The sequence below is a fragment of the Homo sapiens genome, chromosome 4, assembly GCF_000001405.40.
Source record: "Homo sapiens chromosome 4, GRCh38.p14 Primary Assembly".
NCBI lineage: Eukaryota > Metazoa > Chordata > Mammalia > Primates > Hominidae > Homo > Homo sapiens.
Window position 1 is genome coordinate 47012634 of NC_000004.12, and position 24979 is coordinate 47037612.

The following is a 24979-nucleotide window of genomic DNA, read 5'->3' on the forward strand; positions in this document are numbered from 1 at the left end:
TCATGTAAAGTCCAATGTTGTTTATTCGTATGCATTCCTCAGTAGCTTGTCTCCAAGTGTTGACACAGGTATCTGGCTCCTCTCATTACATGGCTCCACTATCTTAGATTCCCTTTTTCTAGCCATTTTCTGTATACATGGGAGAGAAAGGAAAAGGAGAGAAAACACATGAGATATTTAACCATCTTAGCTAAGAAGTAACCTATGACATTTCTTTTCACATTCTTTTGATCAGAACATGTCACATGGTAATTGGAACCTCAAGGGAAGTATGTCAAGAAGCCTGTGGATGTTGGTATTCCACAACAGATTCTGCCACAAAAATATAGTTGTAGTTCATTTGTGTAACCACTGCAAAGTTTTCCATTGTATGAGTACACCACAATTTATTCATTCTCCTGTTGATGGGCATATACCTTGCTTTTAATTTTTCACTACTATAAATTAGAGTGCAATGAACATTCTTGGACATGTCACTTTGTGCATTAGACCAACAAATTGCATTCTGTGTGTGTGTGTGTGTGTGTGTGTAAGGCTATTCTTATCTTTAGCATTACCAATTACACCTGATGGTTTTTCAAGGTAACTAAATAATTTGTGTTCCCATCTCTCTACATACTTAAGAACACTTGTATTATTGTTTTAAAATTACTTTTAGAAATAAGCTGGGTGCCCACCACCATGCCCGGATAATTTTTGTATTTTTATTAGAGGCAGGGTTTCACCATGTTGGCCAGGCTGGTTTCCAACTCCTGACCTCAGGTGATCCACCCACCCTAGCCTCCCGAGTGCTGGGATTACAGGACTGATCCACTGTGCCCGGTCTGTGCAGACAATTTAATGAACAAAATGATGTTTCTTGGTTTAAAGGAGAGTAGAATCAGTTTTTGAACTAGGTGCTAAAATGTCCAACCTGATAATGCTAAAAATGCTGTTTCATCAGTTTATTTACATTATTTAGGTTTAAGATATTTTCGTGTGTGCAGTTGTCATTTGGATTTATCTTCTTTGAATTCTATTCATATCCATTGTTCATTCTTTTATTGACTTGGCTGTCTTTTCCTTAGTTATTTAGGGGGCACTTTGTTAATCCTAGATTCTATTTTTTGTTATAGGCTATTATCTTTTGCAAAAATATTTTATACCAAGTTTTTAAACTTCCAATAGTGTCTTGGAGTGAAACTATGATAGAAGGAAGAGAACAAATTTATTACTTTTATGTGGAGTTGCACCAAAATAGAATTTTGCATTATGTAGAAGATTTAAATTTGAAAATAGTCAAGTTTATGAATCTTTTCACTATGGTTTGTGTTTTTTCTGTCTTGTCCAAGAAATTTTTCTCTAAAATAATGTCACAAAATTTTGTCCCATTTATTTTAATTATAAAATTTTATAGGATTTTCATTTATCTCACCTTGAGTACATTTTTGTATATGCTACGAAGTAGGTATCCAGGTTTATTGTCTTTTCCTATAGATAATCAACTCTAAAAACACTAGAGATCTTATAATCTCTCATTTGCAGTGTTACCTCTATAATGTATCATGTATCCATATATTATTGGAACTGGTTGTGAATGTCCTATTCTGCACTTTTACAATTTCCATAGTTTCATGATAGATTTTGAGAGCTACTAAGGTAAAATCTTCCACTTTGCTTTCTACAAACACTTGCAGCTAGCTATTCTTTGCCCTGGGTTTGTCAATATAAATTTTCAAAATGTCATCTTTATAAAGAACCTGTCAATATCTAAATCTAACACTATTGTCATGTTTGTATTATAGGATAAGCACTATTGACATCTTCTTTTATGTTTTATAAAGCAAATTTTTTTTCCTCTCCTACACTTTTACAATATTTCTGATCACCAAAATGTGTAGCATTTCCCCCTCTCTCCCCACCAGCCTCCCATACCTAGCAATTGTCCACTTCTGGGTTGGACATCAACTGGGTGTCCTACAATTTAATTTAACTCTGACACTATTTACCTCGAAATAGCATCAGATCCCACAGGTTAAGGACTTAGATTTTCCTCCTTTATTAATGTCCAAACTGAAAATAAATATGATATATTAATTCAGAAGTTAAGTATATGATTCTGAAGCAAGAGTTAAAACCACAGGTTTAAATTTGAGAAAAATTGCCATATAATTGGTAATTAAATCCAGGATATAGATAGGATACTCTATGAAAAAGTATAGAATAAGGCTATAGAAAGACATAAGATGAAGTTTGGGAAACTATAGTATTTAGTAGCTGTATTTATTTATTTATTTATTTATTTATTTATTGAGACGGAGTCTCGCCCTGCCTTGCAGACTGGAGTGCAATGGCACGATTTTGGCTCACTGCAACCTCTGCCTCCCAGGTTCAAGTGATTCTCCTACCTCAGCCTCTCAAGTAGCTGGTATTACAGGCACACGCCACCACACCCGGCTAATTTTTTGTATTTTTAGTAGAGACAGGGTTTCACCATGTTGGCCAGGCTGGTCTCGAACTCCTGACCTTGTGATCCGCCCACCTCAGCCTCCCAAAGTGCTGGGATTACAGGCGTGAGCCTCTGTATCTGGCCTAGTAGCCATATTTATTATGATGGGTCTATAAATGAGACAGGAAAGAAAAGGCAGAGATTTAAGAGGACGTATAATAATATAGAATAACAATATGTTTCAAAGAGGGTTAGGTTGATAAAATTAATAGTGTTGAGTATTACTGAGAATTTAAGGATAAACAGAAATAGAAAATATTCATTATATTTGAGAGAGTAACTATTATATATGTCAATACTGTAATATCCTTAATAGATTATATTAGCCTAAATAACAATGAATTAGTCCAAACAAGACTCCTTTTCCTTTTTTTCAACAGTGACTCTTCCACATTGGAAAGCAAAATTATGAGACTCTGGGATGTTGTGGCCTCTGGCTTTTAACTACACTAAAGTGAGAGCTCAGCATAAAGGCTTCCTTTACTGAGATGCAAAAATGACACCAAATGGTTTCAAAGCAATAATTGGAAAGTATTGCCAACAATTGCTTACCATAATTTGTAAAGATTATTAATATGTTATACAAGCAACGGGCAAGCATGAGCCTGTTTTACATGTTTACTATCTGTGATCAACAATATTGGAGCTTTACTATTTATCCATACAGTCCCTGCAAATATTTATTCATTTTGTTCTTAATTTATTCAAACATATTTTTGAGATCCTACAGCATACCAGGATTTTTGCTATATTCTGTCCTAGAGGTCATAATCTAGTAGAAAAAAATATATTCAGCTAACGGTAGAACTATGGTAAAAAGTGTACAAATAGAGGTTTTGGCCAAATGCCACAGCAGCTGGAGTATTAGCGAGGACTAGACCTTGAAAGTTCACAAGGATGAGATGGGCAGAAAAGCACTGCAGGTAGAGGATGCAGCAGGTGAAAGGCTTGCTTCTGGCTTATACAGAAAATAGGAGTATATCAGTGCTAATTAAACACTGGGTATGTGGTAATAGGGGAGAGGTTCAATGAAGAAAAAACAATAGAAATAATGTAGGTTAGAGAGAGGGAGATGGTTCCCTTCTTACCCAGGTATAACATGTTGCTTTAAACAAAACATGAACCAGGCTGCAAAAGCCAAAAATTCTTTAGAAAATGCTGCTTTCAGGCTTTGCCCTATAAAAAGTCATATTCTCAACTACTGAATAAAAAAGCCAATTCTATTATCTTTTTCTTTCCTGTCATTAAGATTTTTCCGTCTCTTTTAATAATGTGTAATAAAAATTTTTGAAAATCCCTATTTGACTTGATCACTAAAGTGACATAGTGACACTTTAGTGAATCATAGAATTGCTTAATAATTTTATGGATAAAAGGAAAACGAAATCCAGAAATGTTCTTTACCGTCCTCTAGGTGACAAAATTTCTATCTGTGCAGATTATTTATTTATTTATTTATTTATTTATCTATCTATCTATCTATCTGAGATGGAGTCTCACTCTGTCACCCAGGCTGGAGTGCAGTGGCACAGTCTTGGCTCACTGCAACTTCCATCTCCTGGGTTCAAGCGATTCTCTTGCCTCAGCCTCCTGAGCATCTGGGATTACAGGCGCCGACCACCATGCCCAGGCTAATTTTTGTATTTTTAGTAGAGACAGGGTTTCACCTTATGGGCCAGGCTGGTCTCCAACTCCTGACTTCAGGTGATCCACTGACCTCAGTCTCCCAAAGTGCTGGGATTACAGGACTGAGCCACTGTGCCTGGCCTGTGCAGACAATTTAGTGAGCAAAATGATGTTTTTCGGTTTAAATGAGGGTAGAATCAGTTTTTGAACTAGGTGCTAAAATATCCAACCTGTTATAATTAGAAATTTTAACTTTTAATACATAACAAACTTTTAAAAGCAGAACTTGAGAATGCAAAAATTAATACTCTTCTTAGATTGTAGGAAGTGCTAATAAGGTATTTAGAAAGAGACGCTGTGGAGTTAAATGACCTGAAAAGTAATTCCAGATCTGCAATTTACTACATGTGCGGCCTTCTCCATGTTTTATAGTTTATGCGTTTATGAAAGTGTTGAGTCACATTTTTTAATTCCCTGCTTGTGTTAACATTCAAGTCTAAAGGATTGCTTGGGATCATGATTTTGATATGACACAACTGTCAGGGAAAAGTATTATGACTCTGGCAGCTATGTGAAATTACACTAACTTAAATTGTAGCTGATGGTCGCATTACTCACATTATTTACTCAAACTCCTTGGACAACTGAAAATAAACATTTTCTTAACTGAGCAGTATATATCATTTAACTTAAAGGAAACACTGGGAAATATGAGATAGACTTCTTTGAGAATTGTACTATGACAACCACTGTAAGAAGCCACCAAAGGCTAAATCCAAATAAAGAAATAAGAAACACATTGGAAACAAATAAAAGCCTATAAAACAGGAAAGAGTAGCTGTAACCAGGAAAGTTATGAAATCGAATGATTTATTTTTTCACACTCACACACACACACACACAAGCATGCTGGCTTCTAGTTTTACCACTGAATCTCTGAAATATTGTCAAGATACTTAAATTTTTGATGACCTAACACCCTCACTGTGACTATTTTATGAACAGCATCTGACTCATCTCTCAATCAAAATTTTGCTCACTGCTTTGAAGCTGTGGAGATATTCATCCACAGATTGTTAAGGAGAAGTTCAGAATATGGTTAGAAAACTTGTTATCCTCTTTTAGAACTCAAATCATTAAATTGTTGTTAAATTCAGATTTTCAGATTTGAATTATTGACTTTTCTCTTTCAAAATAAAATCTCTTATCTTTTCTGTTGTTATTCATGTTTTCATTTAGTTTTTCCTGCTTTAAAATAAGTTTTCTTTTCTTCTTCTTTCTTCTTCTTTGTCGTCATCTTCCTCCTCCTCCTCTTCTTCCTCCTCCTCCTTCTTCTTCTCCCTCTTCCTCCTCTGCCTCCTCTTCTTCTCCTCCTCATCCTCCTCCTCTTTCTTCTTCCTTTTTCCTCCTCCTCCTCCTTTTTCTTCTTCTCTTCTTCTTCTTTCTTTTTTTTTTGGTTTTGGAGAGACAGGCTCTCCATATGTTGCCCAGGTTGGTCTTGAACTCCTGGCCTCTGTCTGGCCTCAAGTCATCCACCCACATCAGCCTCCCACGTCAGCCTCCCAAAGTTCTGAGATTACAGACAGGAGCCACCATGCCTGGCCTTCTTTTCTTCTTTAACAAATAATCACCTTACATCTAGTCAATTGTTAAATTGCTAATGTCTCTGCTTCTTAGTAGTAAGACTAATGCCACAAAAACAGTATGATAATGTCAGAAATCTACAATTTTAAAATATGTAGTTGACCTTTTTACAATATAGAAGTTAGGGGCCCTCACCCCCCAGGCAGTTGAAAATCCATGTGTAATTTTTGGCTACTCAAGAACGTTACTAATAGCCTACTCTTGGCCAGAAACCTTACTGATAACACAAGCAGTTGATTGACACATATTTTATATATGACATGCATTGGGTACTGCATTCTTACACTAAAATAAGCTAGAGAAAGAAAATGTGACTAAGAAAATCATAAGGAAGAGAAAATATATTTATTATTCACTAAGTGGAAGTGGATCATCCTAAAGATCTTCATCTTCATTGTCTTTACATGTGAGTAGGCTGAGGAGGAGGAAGAAGAGGGTTTGATTTTGTCATCTCAGGAATGGCAGAGGTGGAAGAAAATCCGCGTATAAGTGGACCCATGCAATACACACCCATGTTTTTCAAGATTCAGTTGTATTTTTTCTTCATCATTTTTGCTCTTATCTTTACTGACAATTTGTAAACTGCACATGCATCACTAGCTTTTAAGAAATGTATTTTCTCTGAAAATATATTAAACTTTTCATTTAAGACATTTAATGAGATCAAATGAAAATAATTTGACACTCCAGACCTCAAAACTCAAGACCTCAAAATCCACTAAGCAACCGCATTGAAAAATATGAATTTCTCATCTGACTAATGGTAACTTCCTTATGGCCTCATATTGGTTAATCTATCAACAATTTTTCCTAGATGCTCGGCCCTTTTCCTAGATGCTTGGCTCTTCACTTGGCTCTCAGCACACTTCATTCTTCTGGTTTTCTTTCTACCTGTTTCTTCTTTGTCGCTCTTTCTAGTTTCTTTTTGTCTACCCTAACCTCAAAAGTTTGAAAACCCCAGCATACCTGGAATTTCCTTCCTTTTCTACCTACGCTCACAATATTATTGAAATTATGCAGTGTGTTTCATTAAACACTGTATTAGTTTGCTAGGACTGCCATAACAAAATACTAATTGTGGCTTGAACAATGGAAATTTAATTTTCTCATAGTTCTGGAGGCTGAAAGTCCAAGATAAAGGTGTCAGCAGGTTTAGTTTCTCTCTCTCTCTCTCTCTCTCTCTCTCCCTCCTTCCTCCCTCCCTCCCTTCCTCCCTTCTTTCTTTCTTTCTCTCTCTTTCTTTCTTTCTTTCTTTCTTTCTTTCTTTCTTTCTTTCTTTCTTTCTTTCCTTCTTTCCTTCTTCTTTCCTTCTTTCCTTCTTTCCTTCTTCTTTCCTTCTTTCACGGGCTCTCACTTTGTTGCCCAGGCTGTAGTGCAGATCTCAGCTCACTGTAACCTCTGCCTCCCAGGCTCAAGCAATCCTCCCACCTCAACCTCTCTAGTAGATAGGAAAACAGGCACATGCCACCACCCTGGCTAATTTATATATATATATAATATATGTATATGTATATGTATATGTATATGTATACGTATATGTATACGTATATGTATATGTATATGTATATATATTTTGTAGAGACAGGGTTTCACCATGTTGCCTAGGCTGGTCTCGAACTCTTGGACTCAAGCAATCTACCCGCCTCAGCCTCCCAAAGTGCTGGGATTACAGGCATGAGCCACTGTGCCCAGCCAATTTGGTTCCTCTTGAGGTCTCTCTCCTTGATTTGCAGATGACTGCCTTCTCCTTTTGTCCTCACATGGCCTTTCCACTGTGCATGAGCATGTATGGTGTCTCCTCTTTTTATAAAGACATCAATCATATTTTATTAGGACCCCAACCTTTCTGACCTCATTTAACACTGATTATCTCTTTGAAGAGTACTTCTTCAAATATAGTCACATTCAAGGATAGGTCTTCAACTTATGAATTTGGGGGGAACAATTCAATTCATACGAATAGTATCTATGTGCTGCTAGCTTTCAAATGTATACTTCCAACCAAGGCCTCTTCCTTGACATGGAGTTACCCTGCTGCCTACTCAGAATTCCCACTTGGATTTCTAATAAACATGTTAAACTCAACATGTTTGAAATTGATTTACAATGCAAACCTTCCCAAAACTGTTTATCAACATCCTCACCATCTCAGAGAATGGCAACCCTTCCATTTACTCAGCTCGAAGATATCGGAGTCATCTTTTACTCACTTCTTTTCCTCACATCTATATCCTCTCTCAGGAAGTCCTGTTAACTGTAGCTTCACAATATATCTGCAATATGACCACTTTTCATCACCTCTACTACCACTATAATTTTCCCACTTGGATTACTGACTTAACTTCTTCCACCCTTGCCCTCTAATAGTCTATATTCTAGAGTAGCTAGAGTGCTTCTGTTAAAAGGCAAATCAGATCATGTTATTTTATATCAAATCCTTCCACTGGTTTTCCATCTTAGAGTGAATGCTTCAACTCTCTGACTCACCTCCTGTTACTTTTTCTGCCACTCACTCTGCTCTAGTCACACTGGCCTCCTTAAACCTACCAGACACATTCCTACTTCAGTATCTTTGCACTTGCAGTTTTCTGTTGGTAGTGCTCTTTGTCAACATATTTACAAGGCTCAATCCATTGCTAACTGCAGTTCTTTACTCAAATGTCACCTTTTTATACAGGTCTTCCTTAACCACTCTTTCTACTTTTCAACAAACAAAACCCTCCACAGATTCCTATCTGCCATGACCTGATTTAATTTTTCTCTCCTATCACTATCTAAACGTATCATATACTTAACATATCTGCCTTTCTTATGATCCATCCTCTTTACTAAATATTGCTAAATTTATTTATTTATTCATCTATTCAACAAGCATTTATTGCATATCTGTTTTGTGCCAGACAGAATTCCAGATAAGTAAGAGACATTAGTAAGTTTTAAAAAAGGTTATTTTCCTCAGAGCACTTTGATTTAGTGGTTTTATTATAAGAATGTATGTGCTGATAATAAACAGCTGTGATACTCTGCCATGTGTGGACACAGGAAATGCTAAACTACTAGGAATAGAGGAATCATGATGAAGCTGGGAAAAAATAAGAGGTAATCAAGGCAACCCACAGAAATGGCTGTGCTTTCGGATCCTCTGCAGGTATGTTTATCTTCAATAATGTGCGGTCTTCTCTTGAATATTCCAACTTTTTTTTACTCATCTACTATCTCAGTTCCTTCTTCTTTCTGGGAGAATTATCTGTTCATCAATATTTAAATATTTCTTTCTCTATCCTGTGTCTTTTCTTTATCAGAAAAAGTATAGCAAAACAGTTGATAATATTGAGTTTTGATTTTGACTTTGTGGGCTTGAACTCTGGTCTTGTTATGTCTAAGCTATGTGACCCACTACAAGTTACTTTTCCCATCTGCTCCTCCTTTTAAGAAATCAAAAAAATAATAATATTACCAGAGCTTAGATATGTTAGGTATGAATGACTTACTATACAAAAAAGACTTAAAACAGGGCCTGGAACAGAGTAAGCACTCAATAAATTAGAGATTTTATTTTTAATTCCTAATTCCTAGTAAAGAATTATGGCTTATTTAAAATATCTTCTTTCTGTTTCATCAAAATTGATAAACTCATGGCTCCTCCTCTAACTCATAATTAGTTTCTGTATCCCTTGTCTGCAGCTTCAGAATAATTTATTTTAACAATTGCTTTAAATTTCACAGCACTGTACTTAAAAATTGGAGAATATTTTATTTTACTGGTTTATTTGCTTCTCACTTTATTTTGTGTGTTAATTACTTCTTTCCTGTATTAATGCTTTGTTTTCCTATAGTAATCCTTATGTATTTCTTGCTAAAAGGATCTAATGGGGCAAAATGTTCTTAGTCCTTTTATGTCTAAAAATGATTTTATAGTGCCAACACAATTGAATGTTAGTTTTTTAGAGTATGAAATTAGCACTTCAAAGTCATTTTTCCTCAGAATTTTAAAAACATTGCTTCATTGTTTCTGGTACTAATTTTACTGGCCAAAAGAATGACAAATTATTCTTTTTTCTATGTAGATAATATGATTTATTTTTCTCAAGAGTGTTTTAGATGTTTTTCTTTATCCATGATGTTCCAAAATTTCATCAGAATATGACTAATTAATGCTGTTTAACATTCAATCACGTCAGAGAAATGCAAATCAAAATGACAATGAGATGTCATCTCGCCCCAGTTAAAATAGCTTAGATCCAAAAGACAGGCAATAACAAACGCTGATAAGGATGTGGAGAAAAGAGAACACTTGTACACTGTTGGTGAGAATGTAAATTAGTACAATTACTACGGAGAACAGTTTGGAGGTTCCTCAAATTGAAATTGAGCTCAATTCCTCAAACTAAAAATTGAGCTACCATATGATCCAGCAATCCCATTGCTAGGTATTTATCCAAAAGAAAGAAAATCAGTATATCAAAGAGATATCTCCACTGCTATGTTTGCTGCAGCACTGTTTACAATAGCTAAGGTTTGGAAGCAACCTAAGAGTCCATGAACAGATGAATGAATAAAGAAAATGTGGTACATATACGCAACAGAGTACTATTCAGCCATAAAAAAGAATGAGAGCCAATCATTTGCAACGACATGGATGGCACTGGAGATCATTATGTTAAGTGAAATAATCCAGGGACAGAAAGACAAACATCACATGTTCTCACTTATTTGTGGGATCCGAAAATCAAAGCAATTGAACTCATGGACATAGAGAGTAGAAGGATGGTTACCAGAGACTGGGAAGAGTAGTGGGGGGCCTGAGGGGAAGCTGGGATTCGTTAACGGATACAAAAACAGAAAAAATGATGAGACTTACTATTTGATAGCAGAATAAGGAGACTGTAGGCAATAATAATTTAAATGTACATTTTAAAATAACTTAAAGAGTGTTATTGGGCTGTTTGTAACTCAAAGGATTAACGCTTGAGGGGATGAATATCCCTTTCTGCATCATTCTTATTTTCTTTATAAAGTTTTATCTTTCTATTTTTTGTTTTTTGGTTATGTGTGTTTTTATTAAAATTGCCATTTTCAAGTCTTATTAAAGTTTTGTCATTTCATGATTATTGACAAAAGAACTGGAGTATGCAGTTTGTTTATAGGTATATCTTTTGGTTTAAAAATAACACATTCCTGTAAAATTTGGAAAGAAATATGTAAAAGTATAAAAGAAGAAAAAATAACTGCAGCCATTAGCATTCAGAAATAATAGATGAAAATGGTTAATTTCTTTCTAGTCATTTCATATAATTATAAATGTGGGATTTCACATGTGTAAATAATCACAATAAATGTGATGATTTCACATTGCATGACCATATCAAACATCTCATGTACCCCGCAGGTATATACACTTGCTGTGTACCAACACAAATTAAAAACAGAAAAATGAAAAAAATTGAGTAAGGGTGTAAACTAATAACTGTTGTTATTCCGGGAACATTACTTTTAAAAATTATTTCCTCCCCTTCTTTTTCTCTGTTCTTTTCTTATGTAACTCTTGTTAGATTTTTTGGATCGTTTTCAATGTGTCTTTACCTTTTGCAATGCCATCTAGATTGTTATTTGTTTCTATTATCTAGCTAACTAATAAAATCTTCTACTGTGCCATTCAACCCATTTATGGAATTTCATTTTAAAATTTACAATTACATTTCAATTTCATAAATCTTAGTTTTTGTTGTTGTTTTTTGTTTTCTCCTAGTAGTTTGTTCTTTCCTAGTAGTTTGTTCTTCTTGTTGTGTACTCTTGGATGCTTTTATACTTGTTTTAAAGTAGTTTTACTTTCCATGGGATTTAATTTTCTGCTTCTGGAATTTACTTCCTATACTTCATGATATTGATTTTTCTTAAAGGCTTGCTGACTTTTTATTATATGCCCATATTTTTATGTGAGGGTTCATATTGAGAAGTATTTTATTTCTTAAGCACAAATTAAAACCATTCCATGACTATGGCTAATACATTTCTAATGACAGGAAGGGAAAGAAATTTGCAATCCCCCAAATCCTCCATTCGATATTTATTCAGCTTTAGTATGTAGTAGCAGTGACATGCGACCGAAGAAAATATTTGTTGTTTAAAATGCTGGATGATTTAAGTTTTATCTCTCACAGAGAGGATAGTTTTATTTTTAAAATTTTTTATTTCCATACATTTTTGGGGAAGAAGTGGCATTTGGTTATATGGATAAGTTCCTTAGTGATGATTTGTGAGATTTTGGTGCACCCATCACCCGAGCAGTATACACTGAACCCATTTGTAGTCTTTTATCCCATACCACCTTCTGACCCTTTCCTTCTGAATCCCCAAAGTTCACTGTGTCATTCTTATGCCCTTGCATCCTCATAGCTTAGCTCCCACTTATGAGTGAAAACATATAATGTTTGGTTTTCCATTCCTGAGTTACTTCACTTAGAATAATAGTCTCCAATTCCAGCCATGTTGCTGTGAATGCCATTAATTCATTCCTTTTTATGGCTGGGTAGTATTCCATCATATATATATATATATATGTTATTTGTTTTTATTATCTAGCTAACTAATAAAATCTTCTACTGTGCCATTCAACCCATTTGTGGAATTTCATTTTAAAATTTACAATTACATTTCAATTTCATAAATCCATATATATAGCATATATATCACATATATCACATATATATATCATATATATATGTATCTCACAATTTTTTTATCCACTCATTGATTGATGCGTATTTGGGTTGGCTCCACATTTTTGGAATTGCAAATTGTGCTTCTATAAACATGCGTGTGCAAGTATCTTTTTCATATACTGATTTATTTTCCTCTGGGTAAATACCCAGTAGTGGGATTACTTGATCAAATGGTAGTTCTATTTTAGTTCTTTTAGGAATCGCCACACTGTTTTCCATAGTGGTTGTACTAGTTTACATTCCCACCAGCAGTGTAGAAGTGTTCCCTTTTCTGCATCCATGCCAATATCTATTATTTTTTGATTATGGCCATTCTTGCAGGAGTAAGGCGGTATTGTATTGTGATTTCGATTTGCATTTCAGGGAGAGGATAGTTTTATAAACTTGAATTTTTTTTCCACAGAAAGTAATTAGATTATTTCTTAATTAATTACTGTCACTATGTCATATTCTCAGTCCAGGTTTTTCTAAATTTTTCTTTAAATCTATCTTAAAATAATTTTAATGACAACAAAATAAAAATGACAGATTAGCAATGTTCTTATCTCAGTTAATTAATGAAGAATATGTATTTAACATGAGGCAGAGTAAAAGAAGTTTTTTTCCCAAACAAATCCCCAGATTTCTTTTGCTAATCTTGTCTTGCTTAGCTATAAATTGGAAACATACCTCTCACCATCTTACTCCATTCCTATCCTCTTCTCATTATCCCCTCTCCTCTCACCACTGCAAACATAATTTTGTTCAATTCTGCCTTTACTACTTCCGTTTTTTTTGTAATGCCATCAACTTTAAAACTCAAAGCCTTTACTTGTGCTTTCCACCTGTTCTAACTCCTCCCAAATTCTCAACTTGGTGAATTTCAAGATCTAGCAGAAAGTTTCAACTCTATTGAGGTGTCTTCCCTGATATTCCAAGGCAAGAAAAAATGTTTTTGCTGGCCGCAATGGCAGCTACTCTGAAGGCCGAGGTGGGAGGATCTCTTGAATTCAGGAAGTTTGAGATCAGCTTAGGCAACATAGTGAGACCTTAGTGTAAAAATAAATAAATAAATAAATAAAAAGTCCTTTTCACGTTTCTAGCATTTTTTATTATATATTGGTGATTTGGGTGCCCTTGCCCCAACAGTTTGTATCACTTATTGTTGCATAGTTCTAAAAATGTTTTTAAATACACTCACGAATAAATGAATTAGCGCAAAGTTTATATGTTCAGCTGGAAAGTGTTCACCAGATAATCACCGGGTTGTTTGTTTTGTTCTCCAGTTAATATCAGGCACTAAATATTTATTTTATAAAAGAAGATAAAAATTATAGTTTCTACTAAACAACAACAGTAAACAGTAAAATCTATTTTACTATAAAATATGTAAAAACACATTAACACAGATATAAATGGCAACACTTTTTAAATGATGCTCTACAAACAATATATTACCGGTAACAGGCTTAATAGTCCTCATTCTCTGTGACTTTTCCTGACCCACAGCATTACAGGGACCAACTAGAGGGCACAACACTGCAAATCAGGATTTGCAGAGTATCCTTCATAAGATTCTACTTGGATAGCATGGTCTTCTGTACTCAAATACAAATTCTTTACGTAATTTGGGCTTCTTCTAAAATATAAATCACTAATAACATATGTTAAACCCTAAATGCATTTAATTATACAGGAGAAGTTGCAAAAGCATTTAATTATCTCAGTAGAGGTTAAAATATATTTTATGCTGGCAACATTTTTCATAATTAATAACGTACTAGAAAAGAATGTAAACTGTCATTAGACTATTTGAATTTGAATTTTGTCTCTCATTTTTTGTTTGACCTTGGATAAGTTACTTTCTGTGTTTAAGTGTCTTCATCTTTAAAACAGAACTAATTATATATCCCTACCTCTTAAGATATTATGAACACTAGATATGTCAAGTGTTTAAAATAGTGCTGATAAATAATAAGCCTATTAAAATGTTAACTATACTTATTAATGCAATGGTAACATTTTAATAAAAGTAATGGCTTAGAACATCTCTTTATTAGTAAGATAGAGCGTACATTTTGAAACAAAATATCATATTTATTTGGCTAGAATTATACCTGAAAGGAGCAATGAATATCCTTATTATCACCACAATTTATCAAACAGTAAAAATATCATAAATAATAATTTGAGAAGACATTCCAAAAAGAATAAACCCAGAAAAAATTGCAATATGAATTTTTAAATATAATATGAAAATTGTTACATAACAGGAAGTAAAAATAAAAAGAGGTAAAAATATACTTGGCTTATTACATGATACAAGTTTTATCCTCAAAGGTCCATGCTATAATATATAAATAAGAAGAGCTGAAAAATGCAAAGTGAAAAATGCATTTTCATATAGCTAAAGTATATTAAATAGCTGGCTATTAATATAACCTGAAACACAAGAATTTTTTTTTAAAGAAAATAATATATCACTAGAGGATAAATTGATATGCAAAAAGTGAAGTGGTGCCATTCCTATTAACACAGGTTAAAATGACTTCTTAAGTTAATTAGAATATTTAATGCAATATAAAAATAACATGAGATTTTTAGATTGTATTAAATTAATGCTATACTTAAGCTAGAAAATAAAGTATGTAAACATAACAAAGGATATGTAAATATCTTGAAAAGCAATAATGGTGTTGCTGCCTTATCAAAATTCATACTTTTCTAACAATGAGTGATTATAATAAAATTATATCATATTAGGTTAAATCAGAAAAACTGATCAATTGAACAGAAGGCAAATGCCACCAATACATGCATCCAATAACATATTATATTACTATTAGTATTACAAATCATCCTTAAAATAAATTGTGGCAATTTATACTGTCCCCAAAGTATATGAAATTGTATTTTTCCACAGCTTCCATGATACTTAAGGTTAAACCATTTTAAACTAGCAAACCAACAAGTGAAAATGGTACTTCATATCTATTTTAAAAATTGTATTCATTTGATTACTACTGAGCTTGAAACTTTACAATATATTTATTGGTCACTTAATTATTTTTTTAAATATTTTCTATTTTTTAAAAAGTTTTGCAGGTACATACTAGGTGTGTATGTTTATGGGGTACATGAGATGTTTTGATATAGATATGTTACGTGAAATAAGCACATCATAAAGAATGAGGTATCCATCCCCTTAAGCACTTATCCTTGAAATTACAAACAATCCAAATACACTGTTTATGTTATTTTAAAATGTACAATTAAGTTACTGACTACAGTCACCCTACTCTGCTATCAAATATTAGAGATTCTTTGGTGAAATGCTTGTTACAATTGTTTGCTCATTATTTATTAGACATTTATTTCTCTCATTGATTGGCATAAACATTTTAAAATATAAATTGCAAATGTATCTCCTAATTGGTCACTTCGTTATCAGTTTTGATCAGCTTTTTGTAAAATATTTCAAATATCTAGAAATATATGGAGAGTAGAATGATGAACACCCACATATCATGTTGTGGCTAATTGGAATGAAATTTTTTTGATAAAATATTGTAGATTCATTTGAACCTTAAAGTGTGGTATCCTTCTTATTTTTGTTCTCTATTCTGTGTATGTGTATATATATACATACACACACAAACACACACCCCGACACATACATATACACCATATATATGTATATGTGTATATATGTGTATATATATGTATATATGGTATATATACATATATATGGTGTATATGTGTATATATGGTATATATACCATATATATATATATGGTGTATATGTACATAATATATCTTTTGGGTTTTACACTTAAATATTTTAAAATTTATGTTATCATGGCTCATTATATCATTCTGCACCTTGCTCTTGTTTCGTTTTTGCTCAGTGTTTTACTTCTGGGATTTGTCAGTGTAGAAGCATGTAGACATTCAACTATTTTGACTGTTGTATTACATTGTGTGATTATATTCCTATTTATTTCCAATTAATAAAAATTGTTGCCAGTTTTGCACTACTAAAAACAACACTGCCATAAATATTCTTAGACTGCATGAGTTTATCACTAGGGTATATTCTGAGTGGTAGCAATTCTGGGCCAAAGAGCATGGGCATCTTTGACTTTACTAGTATGTCCAAAGAGTGGTACAAAGTGTTTAGATCAATTTATATGTCTACTGAAAATATATGGAGTTTTAAAAGCCAATTTTTAATATTCTTAAGTTTTGCATATCTCATGAGTTTAAAATAGTGTACAATTCCTTTAATTTGCAATTCCTTATTTAGAGTGGCTTTTGATCTTTTCTTATTTACTTCTGGAAGTTTTTTTTTCTGGTAATTTCTTTATACAAACCTTCTGATGGTTAAATTTGCTGAAAACATGTTCTTTCTATGTATAACTTGACTTTTCAGAAGAAGCTTTGGATTTAAAGAAGGTTACATTTTAACATAGTTATCGCAATAATCTTTTTTATCATTTATAACTTTGTTCATCTTTAGATCTTTCCTTTTATCACAGTCATAAAGATATTCTCCTATATAGTTTAAAGTTTTGAAAGTTTTGTTTTTTGTATTAAAGTTACGTATCTACCTGTAATATATTTTCATGTATGTAATGATGTAAAGATCTACTTTTTTCCCTTATGGATAATAAATTGTCTTGCAACATTTATTGAGTAGCTCATCTTTTCCTACTTCTCTTAAAATAGAGGAGTATTTCTGTGCTCTCTATTTGCTCGTACTATTTTGCTTTTTATCCCTACATGAATTCCATGCCAAAGACAAACTGATTCAGTTTCTATATAGCACAATAATGTCTTGATATCTCAAAGGCAAATGCCCCCATATTCCTTCTCTTTTTTTCTTCTTCTTCTTCCAGGTTTTCTTGGCTTTTATTTACCCCCTCATTCTTCTATTTGAATTTTGGAATTAGTTTATTCATTTCCATTTAGAATGTAGGAATTTTGATTCAAATTGGTTATATTTCTTACATTGGATAGAATTGACATCCTTACAATGTTGAGTCTTCCCAATTACCCATATGGTACATTTTCCATTTATCTAGGTCATATTTTGTGTATTTAAATAATGTTATGTACCTTCACTCTAAACTTCTTGTGCATATTTTTCCCCCAGTTATTCCTAGGTACATTAGAATTTTTTGTTATTATTGTAATGGAATAAATTTTTCTATTACGTTTTTTTGTTTGGTAACTCCTGTGTAGGGAAATACTAAGAATATGCATAAGTTTCTTGACCTTGAGACACTTCCATCCTAGTTAGAAGCTAATTTTTAAGCTGTCTCCTCTTTCCCTCATAAAAGTAAGCAGCAGACTATAATAGGAGTAGGGATTACAATTCGCTTTACTTACACTTGTGTGTGTCCCTCTCCCATTAGATGTGAATTTCTCTAGGACAAGAACCCTTTTTGAATCAGTTATAAGTCCCAGAATGCCCACAACAAAATTTAATATATACTATTTAACAAAAGAACAAACACCTAGTCCAGGGCCTTCTGCCTAACATGTGCTCAATGACATTTGTAGAATCGAAGTTACTGAATTTGATTTAATTCAAACAATACTTGCTCCTGCAGAATCCCAACCTACTGGCGAACAGAGGTTAAACTGTCTGGATGTTTCAGAGTTCTGCTAGGGGTCACAAATACCACCTTAAATGCTGTCAATTTAAGAAGGAGATTTTTCTTATCACAACCTGGAGGATAAGTGGGGCTTGCAGTGGATGGCCCTAGAAAAAAAGATTGCCTGCCCAGAACTGCTGCTGGATCCTTTGTTTCCCTCATTTCCCAACCTGGATGAAAAACGACAAGGGGAGGGAAGAAAAGTGGGGTGGAAGAAAAGTTGGCTTGCCCCTCCTACTCTGCCTCCTACAGAAGTCTACACCAAGCCAGATGTCCTAGGATGCCTCCCAAGGGCACCTAATTTTTGGAGTTCTCAAATACGTCCTGAGTTTCCTCTGTACCTTTAGTAACTCTCCCGTTCCCTCTCTCTCCACTCTTCCCTGCTCCCAGTCACCCCCACCCACAACCCCCGCTGATCACATCCTCCCGGTGCCCGCCACAGGCAACCAGAGAACAACAGACCCTCCTCCAGAGTCCCCGTTCTAGGACCTCCCTGACTGTCAACGAAAGATGCCAATCACAGGCAGCCTTAGCCAGATCACTGAGCGCCCAGTAAAAAAAACAAAATCAGGTTGAGGGCAGAAATGAAATCAACATAGCAACCTCCAATGCATGAAGGAAACTCCGTTTACACATGCTCGTAGGATCCCCTGCGTGGAAACAGCAGCTTGTCTCTGACTACCCGGAGGACATGGAGCACCCCAAATAGGAACTTTAGAGGGATTGAAATCTGTTGCCTGTTCCACTAGGAATATTGTTTGCAAGGCACAAGGTGTCTTTTGGTAGTGAGCGCGCTCTGCGCATGCGCAGGTCCATTCGGGAATTACTGCCCAGCAGCCGACTAAGTTGCATTCCTTGAATCTTCGCAGAAAAGACAATTCTTTTAATCAGAGTTAGTAATGTGGACAGTACAAAATCGAGAGAGTCTGGGGCTTCTCTCTTTCCCTGTGATGATTACCATGGTCTGTTGTGCACACAGGTGAGCTGCTGTTGTTGAATCTCGCTCTCTCTCTCTCTCTCTCTTTTTTTCTTGGTATGTTTCTTTTTACGTGTCTGCTGGATCATGTATCTTGTTGTTTGGGGGTAGGTGTGCCTGTATCTTTTTATATGTGCTCACAGTTTGTGCTCATTTTGAATACGGTCCCTACTTCTTCCCCTTAGCACCAATGAACCCAGCAACATGTCATACGTGAAAGAGACAGTGGACAGATTGCTCAAAGGATATGACATTCGCTTGCGGCCGGACTTCGGAGGTAACGCTTCATCTTTTTTCAACCTGTAACCCATCCTTAGTTCTCCTTTTCTGTCAAAGATAAATGTCAAAAAAAAAAAAAGAAAAGGCATGTCATTTTCGTAAGCGTGCACTATACCCTGGGCACACACACACACACACACACACACACACACACCCCGGGTCCCCAGTCTCAGGTGGATGAATCCTCAGGCGGAGGCGACCTTCTCCCGGGCCGACACACCCTCTGCATAGTCACTGCATCACGCGTGTGCCCACACCTGTTTTCCCAGGCAGTCCCCTGAAAGGGGTGGTGGGGGGAGCAGGGAGGGAGCCCGTTAAGAATGGAGTAAGGGCTGGGAAGCCCCCAGACCCTCCCCAGCCTGCTGTCACTGAGAGAATCTGTTCCTAATGTGGCCCACCTCCCCGGCAGGGCCCCCCGTCGACGTTGGGATGCGGATCGATGTCGCCAGCATAGACATGGTCTCCGAAGTGAATATGGTGAGTGGCCTCCCGAGGGGCCCGGCGGTTCGGCTTACGCAGATGGGAAATGGACAGGTCCCTTTGCCCTCTGCGTTTCATTGGCGGTCACCTCGCCCCTGGCCCCTGAGGTCCCACTCCGCACCCGCTCCCCGCTCCGGCACACACACCCGGTCGCCCCTGGTTTGTAATTTCGACACACACGGGCTACTGCGGTGTTCCAGGGGAAACGTGCTCGGCACTATTTTGGGAAGGACGAGTGACTGTTGCGCCGTGGATCTGCTGGGGCGGAGTCTGAGCGTTACTTTAGCTGGGTTTCCCTGCGTGTTTGGATGAGGAGGGCACCATCTGCTGGCAGCCGGGCGGCCTGCACTAGGGTCCCCGGACCGGTGGTCGGCAGCCATCACCTCCCCAGGCGCGGTGCTGGCAATCCCCATGGCCCTCGCAGTCCGCGAGCCCGGATGCACCAAGGCCCTGCCACCGAGAGCACAGTCTGGGTTTCAAAGTGTCCTCTCTCTCCAGGTTCAGGCACACCTGGTGGCAGGAGCAACAGGCTAAGACAACAGTCCATGTTTGCTAGTAGGAAAAGTGCCCGAGCCTGGGTAGGCTTGTATTGTTCTCTTGCGGGAGGTTATGAATTTGTCTTACTGCATCTTGCAAATTTAAGTTGAAACAGAATAAATCAAGTCATATTGCTTCACCTTACTCTAGAAACCTAAGCATGCCTAAAAATCCTGATAATTTAAGGGACGTTGGAAGGGAGAGGGGGCGACAGTAACACAGCACAGTCCTTTCATTTCAAAGGGGTCAACATTCTTTTATATATTTCTTCCCTCTCTTTTTGGAAGCTATTGCAAAATGAACTGAAATAGCTGCCACTTTCTCTGTTGGCTGGTTCCGTCCACTGTGTGTAGGAGTTTTCTACTTAGAGTTTCTAACTGTTGCTTCTCGTAAGACGGAAAAGCCTGTTGCTTTTCTAGAATCAACCACCCAGGGAACAGCTAGATCTACGTGAGCAAAATGCCATTTTTATTCCACTTGTGAAAAAATGTTATGGCGGCAGAAATTTATAAATCCTGAATAATTTAAAGAGTAAAACCATTTGAGATTGTATCACTCTATGGCTATAAAGGCTATTGAATTGTCTTTCATTTCATTCCTACTGTGTCGTTTTATTTTAATATACTATGGTTTAAGAATTCTTTTCTTTTCCTTTTTAGGTTATGTTAGGGTCGAAATAAATATGTCTATAGCTTATTGAATAGGAATAGAATAAAAAGTGTGACTATTTAATTTCTGTATTTTGTAGTTGTAGCGGCTCCTGCTTCAAATAACGTATTTAAAATACTATTTGTAAATGTCTCTGATTGTCGTGCTGGAAAAAGAAACTCAATTTTAAAAACGTAATACACAATGAATATTTCTCATTTGGCAAACTGACTTATTATATTCTGTTTACATACATGTTAACACCACAAAGTAACCCAAAACATATTATTTAGAAACACTCTGAGGAATGTAATAATATGTGCCTAATCTACACGAATGCAACTGGACAAATTAGACAATGAATTAGTTTAACAAGTTGTATCATGTAGATTAATAATGTTAATATTTTTCCTTTTCAATCATTTCCTTTGGTATCTTGTAAGCATCCACAGATAATTGATAAAATAGAAGATTTAAAAAGCTCAAAAAGCAAATGCAGCCTTTGTTCTACCTTGCCGTGTAGAGTGTCATGCTTTTCAGAATTTTAAAAAATATATAATTCTGTTGGCTATATTGACATACCCCTTTTCAGTTTTTTTTAAAACTCAATTAAATAGGGAAGTTGCTGCAATCAACAACCACCGTAACAAAAAGTTCTGTATAATTAGTTGTTCAACTGAATTCATACATAAGCTCAGAACAAGGATTGACTTTAATTGAAATACCACTGGACATTTCTTCCTAATGATTAAATAATACAGTCTGTTTACTCACAGCAACACGTGTGTATGCACTTGATTTTTCAAAAGTATTCACCCAGCTGATAAGCCTTTGAAAATACCTGTTCTACTACAATCCCCATTACCTTTCCACAACAATGTTACAGACATGATTAGAAAATAGAAACCACTCAAAGTTGAAAAATAATAAACCTTGATTTACTTGTTCTTTCTTGTTTCTCCTTTTAATGAGCACTATCAACAGAACCCAAAGTTTATTTTATCTTCTGTCATCTATGACAAAACATTGAAATAAATAGATTGGAAATAACTCCAAGAAAAATGGAAATAAAGAGTAATGTTTTTAAAATTGAGGGTTCTGTATAAACACAACTCAGATGGTTAGCCCGCACCCCCAAAAGAGAATTGTTTATTATATGTTGTGATATTTAGCTAATATAAATAGGGTAGGAAGTCCATGGAAAATAAGACTTATTGCTTATTGCTTTTTGTATTAAGCATGTTTCGGTGCCCTGATAGGCAGTAACTTGAGTAATTTAATAGAAAATTTTCATCTACATTAAATGACAAGAATATAACAAAGAGAATGGACAATAATATCATAAAAATAGTTTTTAAGAAAATGCAAGTTGAATCAATTTCCAAAACATTGCTTATATTTATGTTTTTATTTATTACCATTATTACCCATTCCATGGCTGGGAAAATGACATAATTGTGCATTAAATTAGTAGATTTGAGAACTAGGTTCCATTCATTTTTGTTCTTTACCATTGCTTCCCCAAGTAAAATATAATCCCTGATTGGTTTACACATTGTCTGCTTTACAGACTAACATCGTATCAAGAGTATTATCTGATTTCTTAATTTGTGAAAAATTAAGTGTTTTCTTAATTTTTCACAAATTAAGAAACAAAAGCAATCTTTACATAGTAAAGAATCTCTACAATCAAGAATCATTGGTTCTAAGCAGTGAATGCAAAACTTGTGAAGAATAATGCCGATGTAGATAAACATATCTACTTGAGAACAAGACTTTTCAGGCAATAATATTATTGATTAAATTAGAAAGGATTGTTCTTTTGGCATCATGGGATATACTGTTTGTGTGATAGCAACTACATACTGTTACCATTTTCTAAACTGTCATCTTAAAAAACCACCATGATTTCCATTTATATATTATAACCTTCAAACCTTGTCTTTTAACTGTTTCTGCCAAGCCACAGACACACACACACATACACACACACGCACAAAGAGGACTGACTAAAGATGAACAGGAGGCAGTTGGAGTAAATGGAGACAAGAGCTCCCAGAAATTGTCCTTAACATAACCACTAACATCTGCTACTATAAAGCCAGTAAAACACAGACAGTAGTAGGCAAATTTTCTCTTCGAACAGTAGTTTGGGGAAACATGATATTAACTACCTTCTAACAAGTAGTTGAACTCTTGTATTTCAAATTCCAGTGACTAGCTGTTCCTTTTTATTCAAGAGGTGGATCCTGATTACCAAGTAGGAGTTCCAACCAGGCAGCTCTCTGTACCTAATCTGAAGACACGATGGTCCAAATGGCCACCCCTAGAAGACCTTACATCGAATGAGTCCTGACTCAATGCAGGACTCAATTCAAGCTGTTCCCAATATGAGATAGCTATCATGGATTCATTGTCTTTCCTTCCTTCATGCATGAATGAGTATAACAGTGAATGTTCTTACAGACATTACAGTGAACAACGATGACAAAAACGAAAATGAGCCAATTTTATAAATAATGCTTAATGAAAGACAAATTTAATTTACCAAATATCCACTTAAAATTCACTGTTTCTGTTGTTGTGGTTATTTTAATATTAGACTCTGGAAGTTTCTGGTACATACTTCAATTATATCTCATTACTATCACTGTGGTGACTCAAAACAGTAACTGCTTGTCAGATTCCCAGTCCCCACATGAATTTCTCTAGGTCAGTGCTTCTCAATCTTTAACATATAGGTGAATCACTCTGGGATCTTATTAAAATGCAAATTCCAAATCAGAGGTGTGGGATGGGGCCTGACATTCTGCATTTTTCCTGGGCAATGCTGATTGCTGGTATATAGATTGCACTTTGAATATCAAGGTAGTACATTATCCTAAGTTCTAGCTTAATTAAGAAATTGGCTGGGTACAGTGGCCCCAACCAGTAATCCCAGCATTTTGGGAGGCCAAGGCGAGTGTATCACTTGAGGCCAGGAGTTTAAGACTAGCCTGGCCAACATGGTGAAACCCCATGTCTACCAAAAGTATACAAATTAGCTGGGTGTGATGGTGCGTGCCTATAGTTCCAGCTACTCTGGAAGCTGAGGCATGAGAATCACTTGAACCCAGGAGGCTGGAGGTTGCGGTGAGCCAAGATCGTGCCACTGTGCTCCAGCCTATGTGATAGAGCAAAACAGTCTTAAAAAAAAAGAAAAAAAGAAAAAAAGAAAGAAAAGTAAAGAAAAAAAGAAATGAACTTTTTTTTTCCATTAAAATTTCTTTAGGAATGTTATTATTTAAGTTGCAGGTAGCTGTTCTCTAAAGGGAAAGTTAATGCCATAATTGATGATGATGATGATAAGCAACAGGATAAAGGCAGGAGCCTGGAGATGGGGCTTGACCTAAACTAATAAATAGTCTTCTTTTCTGTATTAATACCTGTGAATCAACCAATCTCAAATGATGGCAATGAAAACATTTCCAAGTACAGTAACTCCACAGTACTATCCTGTTGCTTTACAGGGACACCTATGCCTTTTTTCTTCAGAATAAAGAACATTGCAAACTGTTTTTGCACCACTGAGGAGCTAGCAATAACTTTGTAAAATAGCCTAAACATACTCTTGATGCTGTCAGTAAGTTCTCTGAGGTTATAATAGAATTTCCTTTGCAAACAGAACAAATAGGTGAGTACCACTTAAAAGCAGAAACAGGTATTAGCTAGCATGTAAATACATTTTATTCTTATATGAGTAATCACACAAGTTTTTCTCTTAGGTTCTGGGTTACAATTTTATAACGTCTGGAGAGGCTGGGGAAGGAAAATCTTCCCTTTGCCTGTCTGTTTGGAGATAGCATATATATATTCGTTTTTTTTTGTTGTTGTTGTTGTTTTTTGTTTTTTTTTTTTACTCTAAGCCACATTAAAGCAAGCCTATCTAGATTGTTTTAAA

General features: G+C 35.4%; 1 protein-coding gene across 4 annotated transcripts in view; it reads left to right on the forward strand.

The window, feature by feature from the left end:
- Positions 1–24979, forward strand: part of GABRB1 (gamma-aminobutyric acid type A receptor subunit beta1) — a 432801-nt gene that overhangs the window by 18987 nt on the left and 388835 nt on the right. For 2 of the 4 annotated variants that reach the window (NM_000812.4, XM_017007986.3), the window contains exons 1-3: positions 18934–19098; positions 19281–19372; positions 19784–19851. In NM_000812.4, the coding sequence (NP_000803.2) occupies positions 19019–19098; positions 19281–19372; positions 19784–19851 (240 nt within the window). In that variant the 5' untranslated portion in view covers positions 18934–19018. Of the gene's footprint in view, positions 1–18933; positions 19099–19280; positions 19373–19783; positions 19852–24979 lie in introns of those variants that run through there. The other 2 variants (XM_024453977.2, XM_024453976.2) reach the window with 1 other exon arrangement.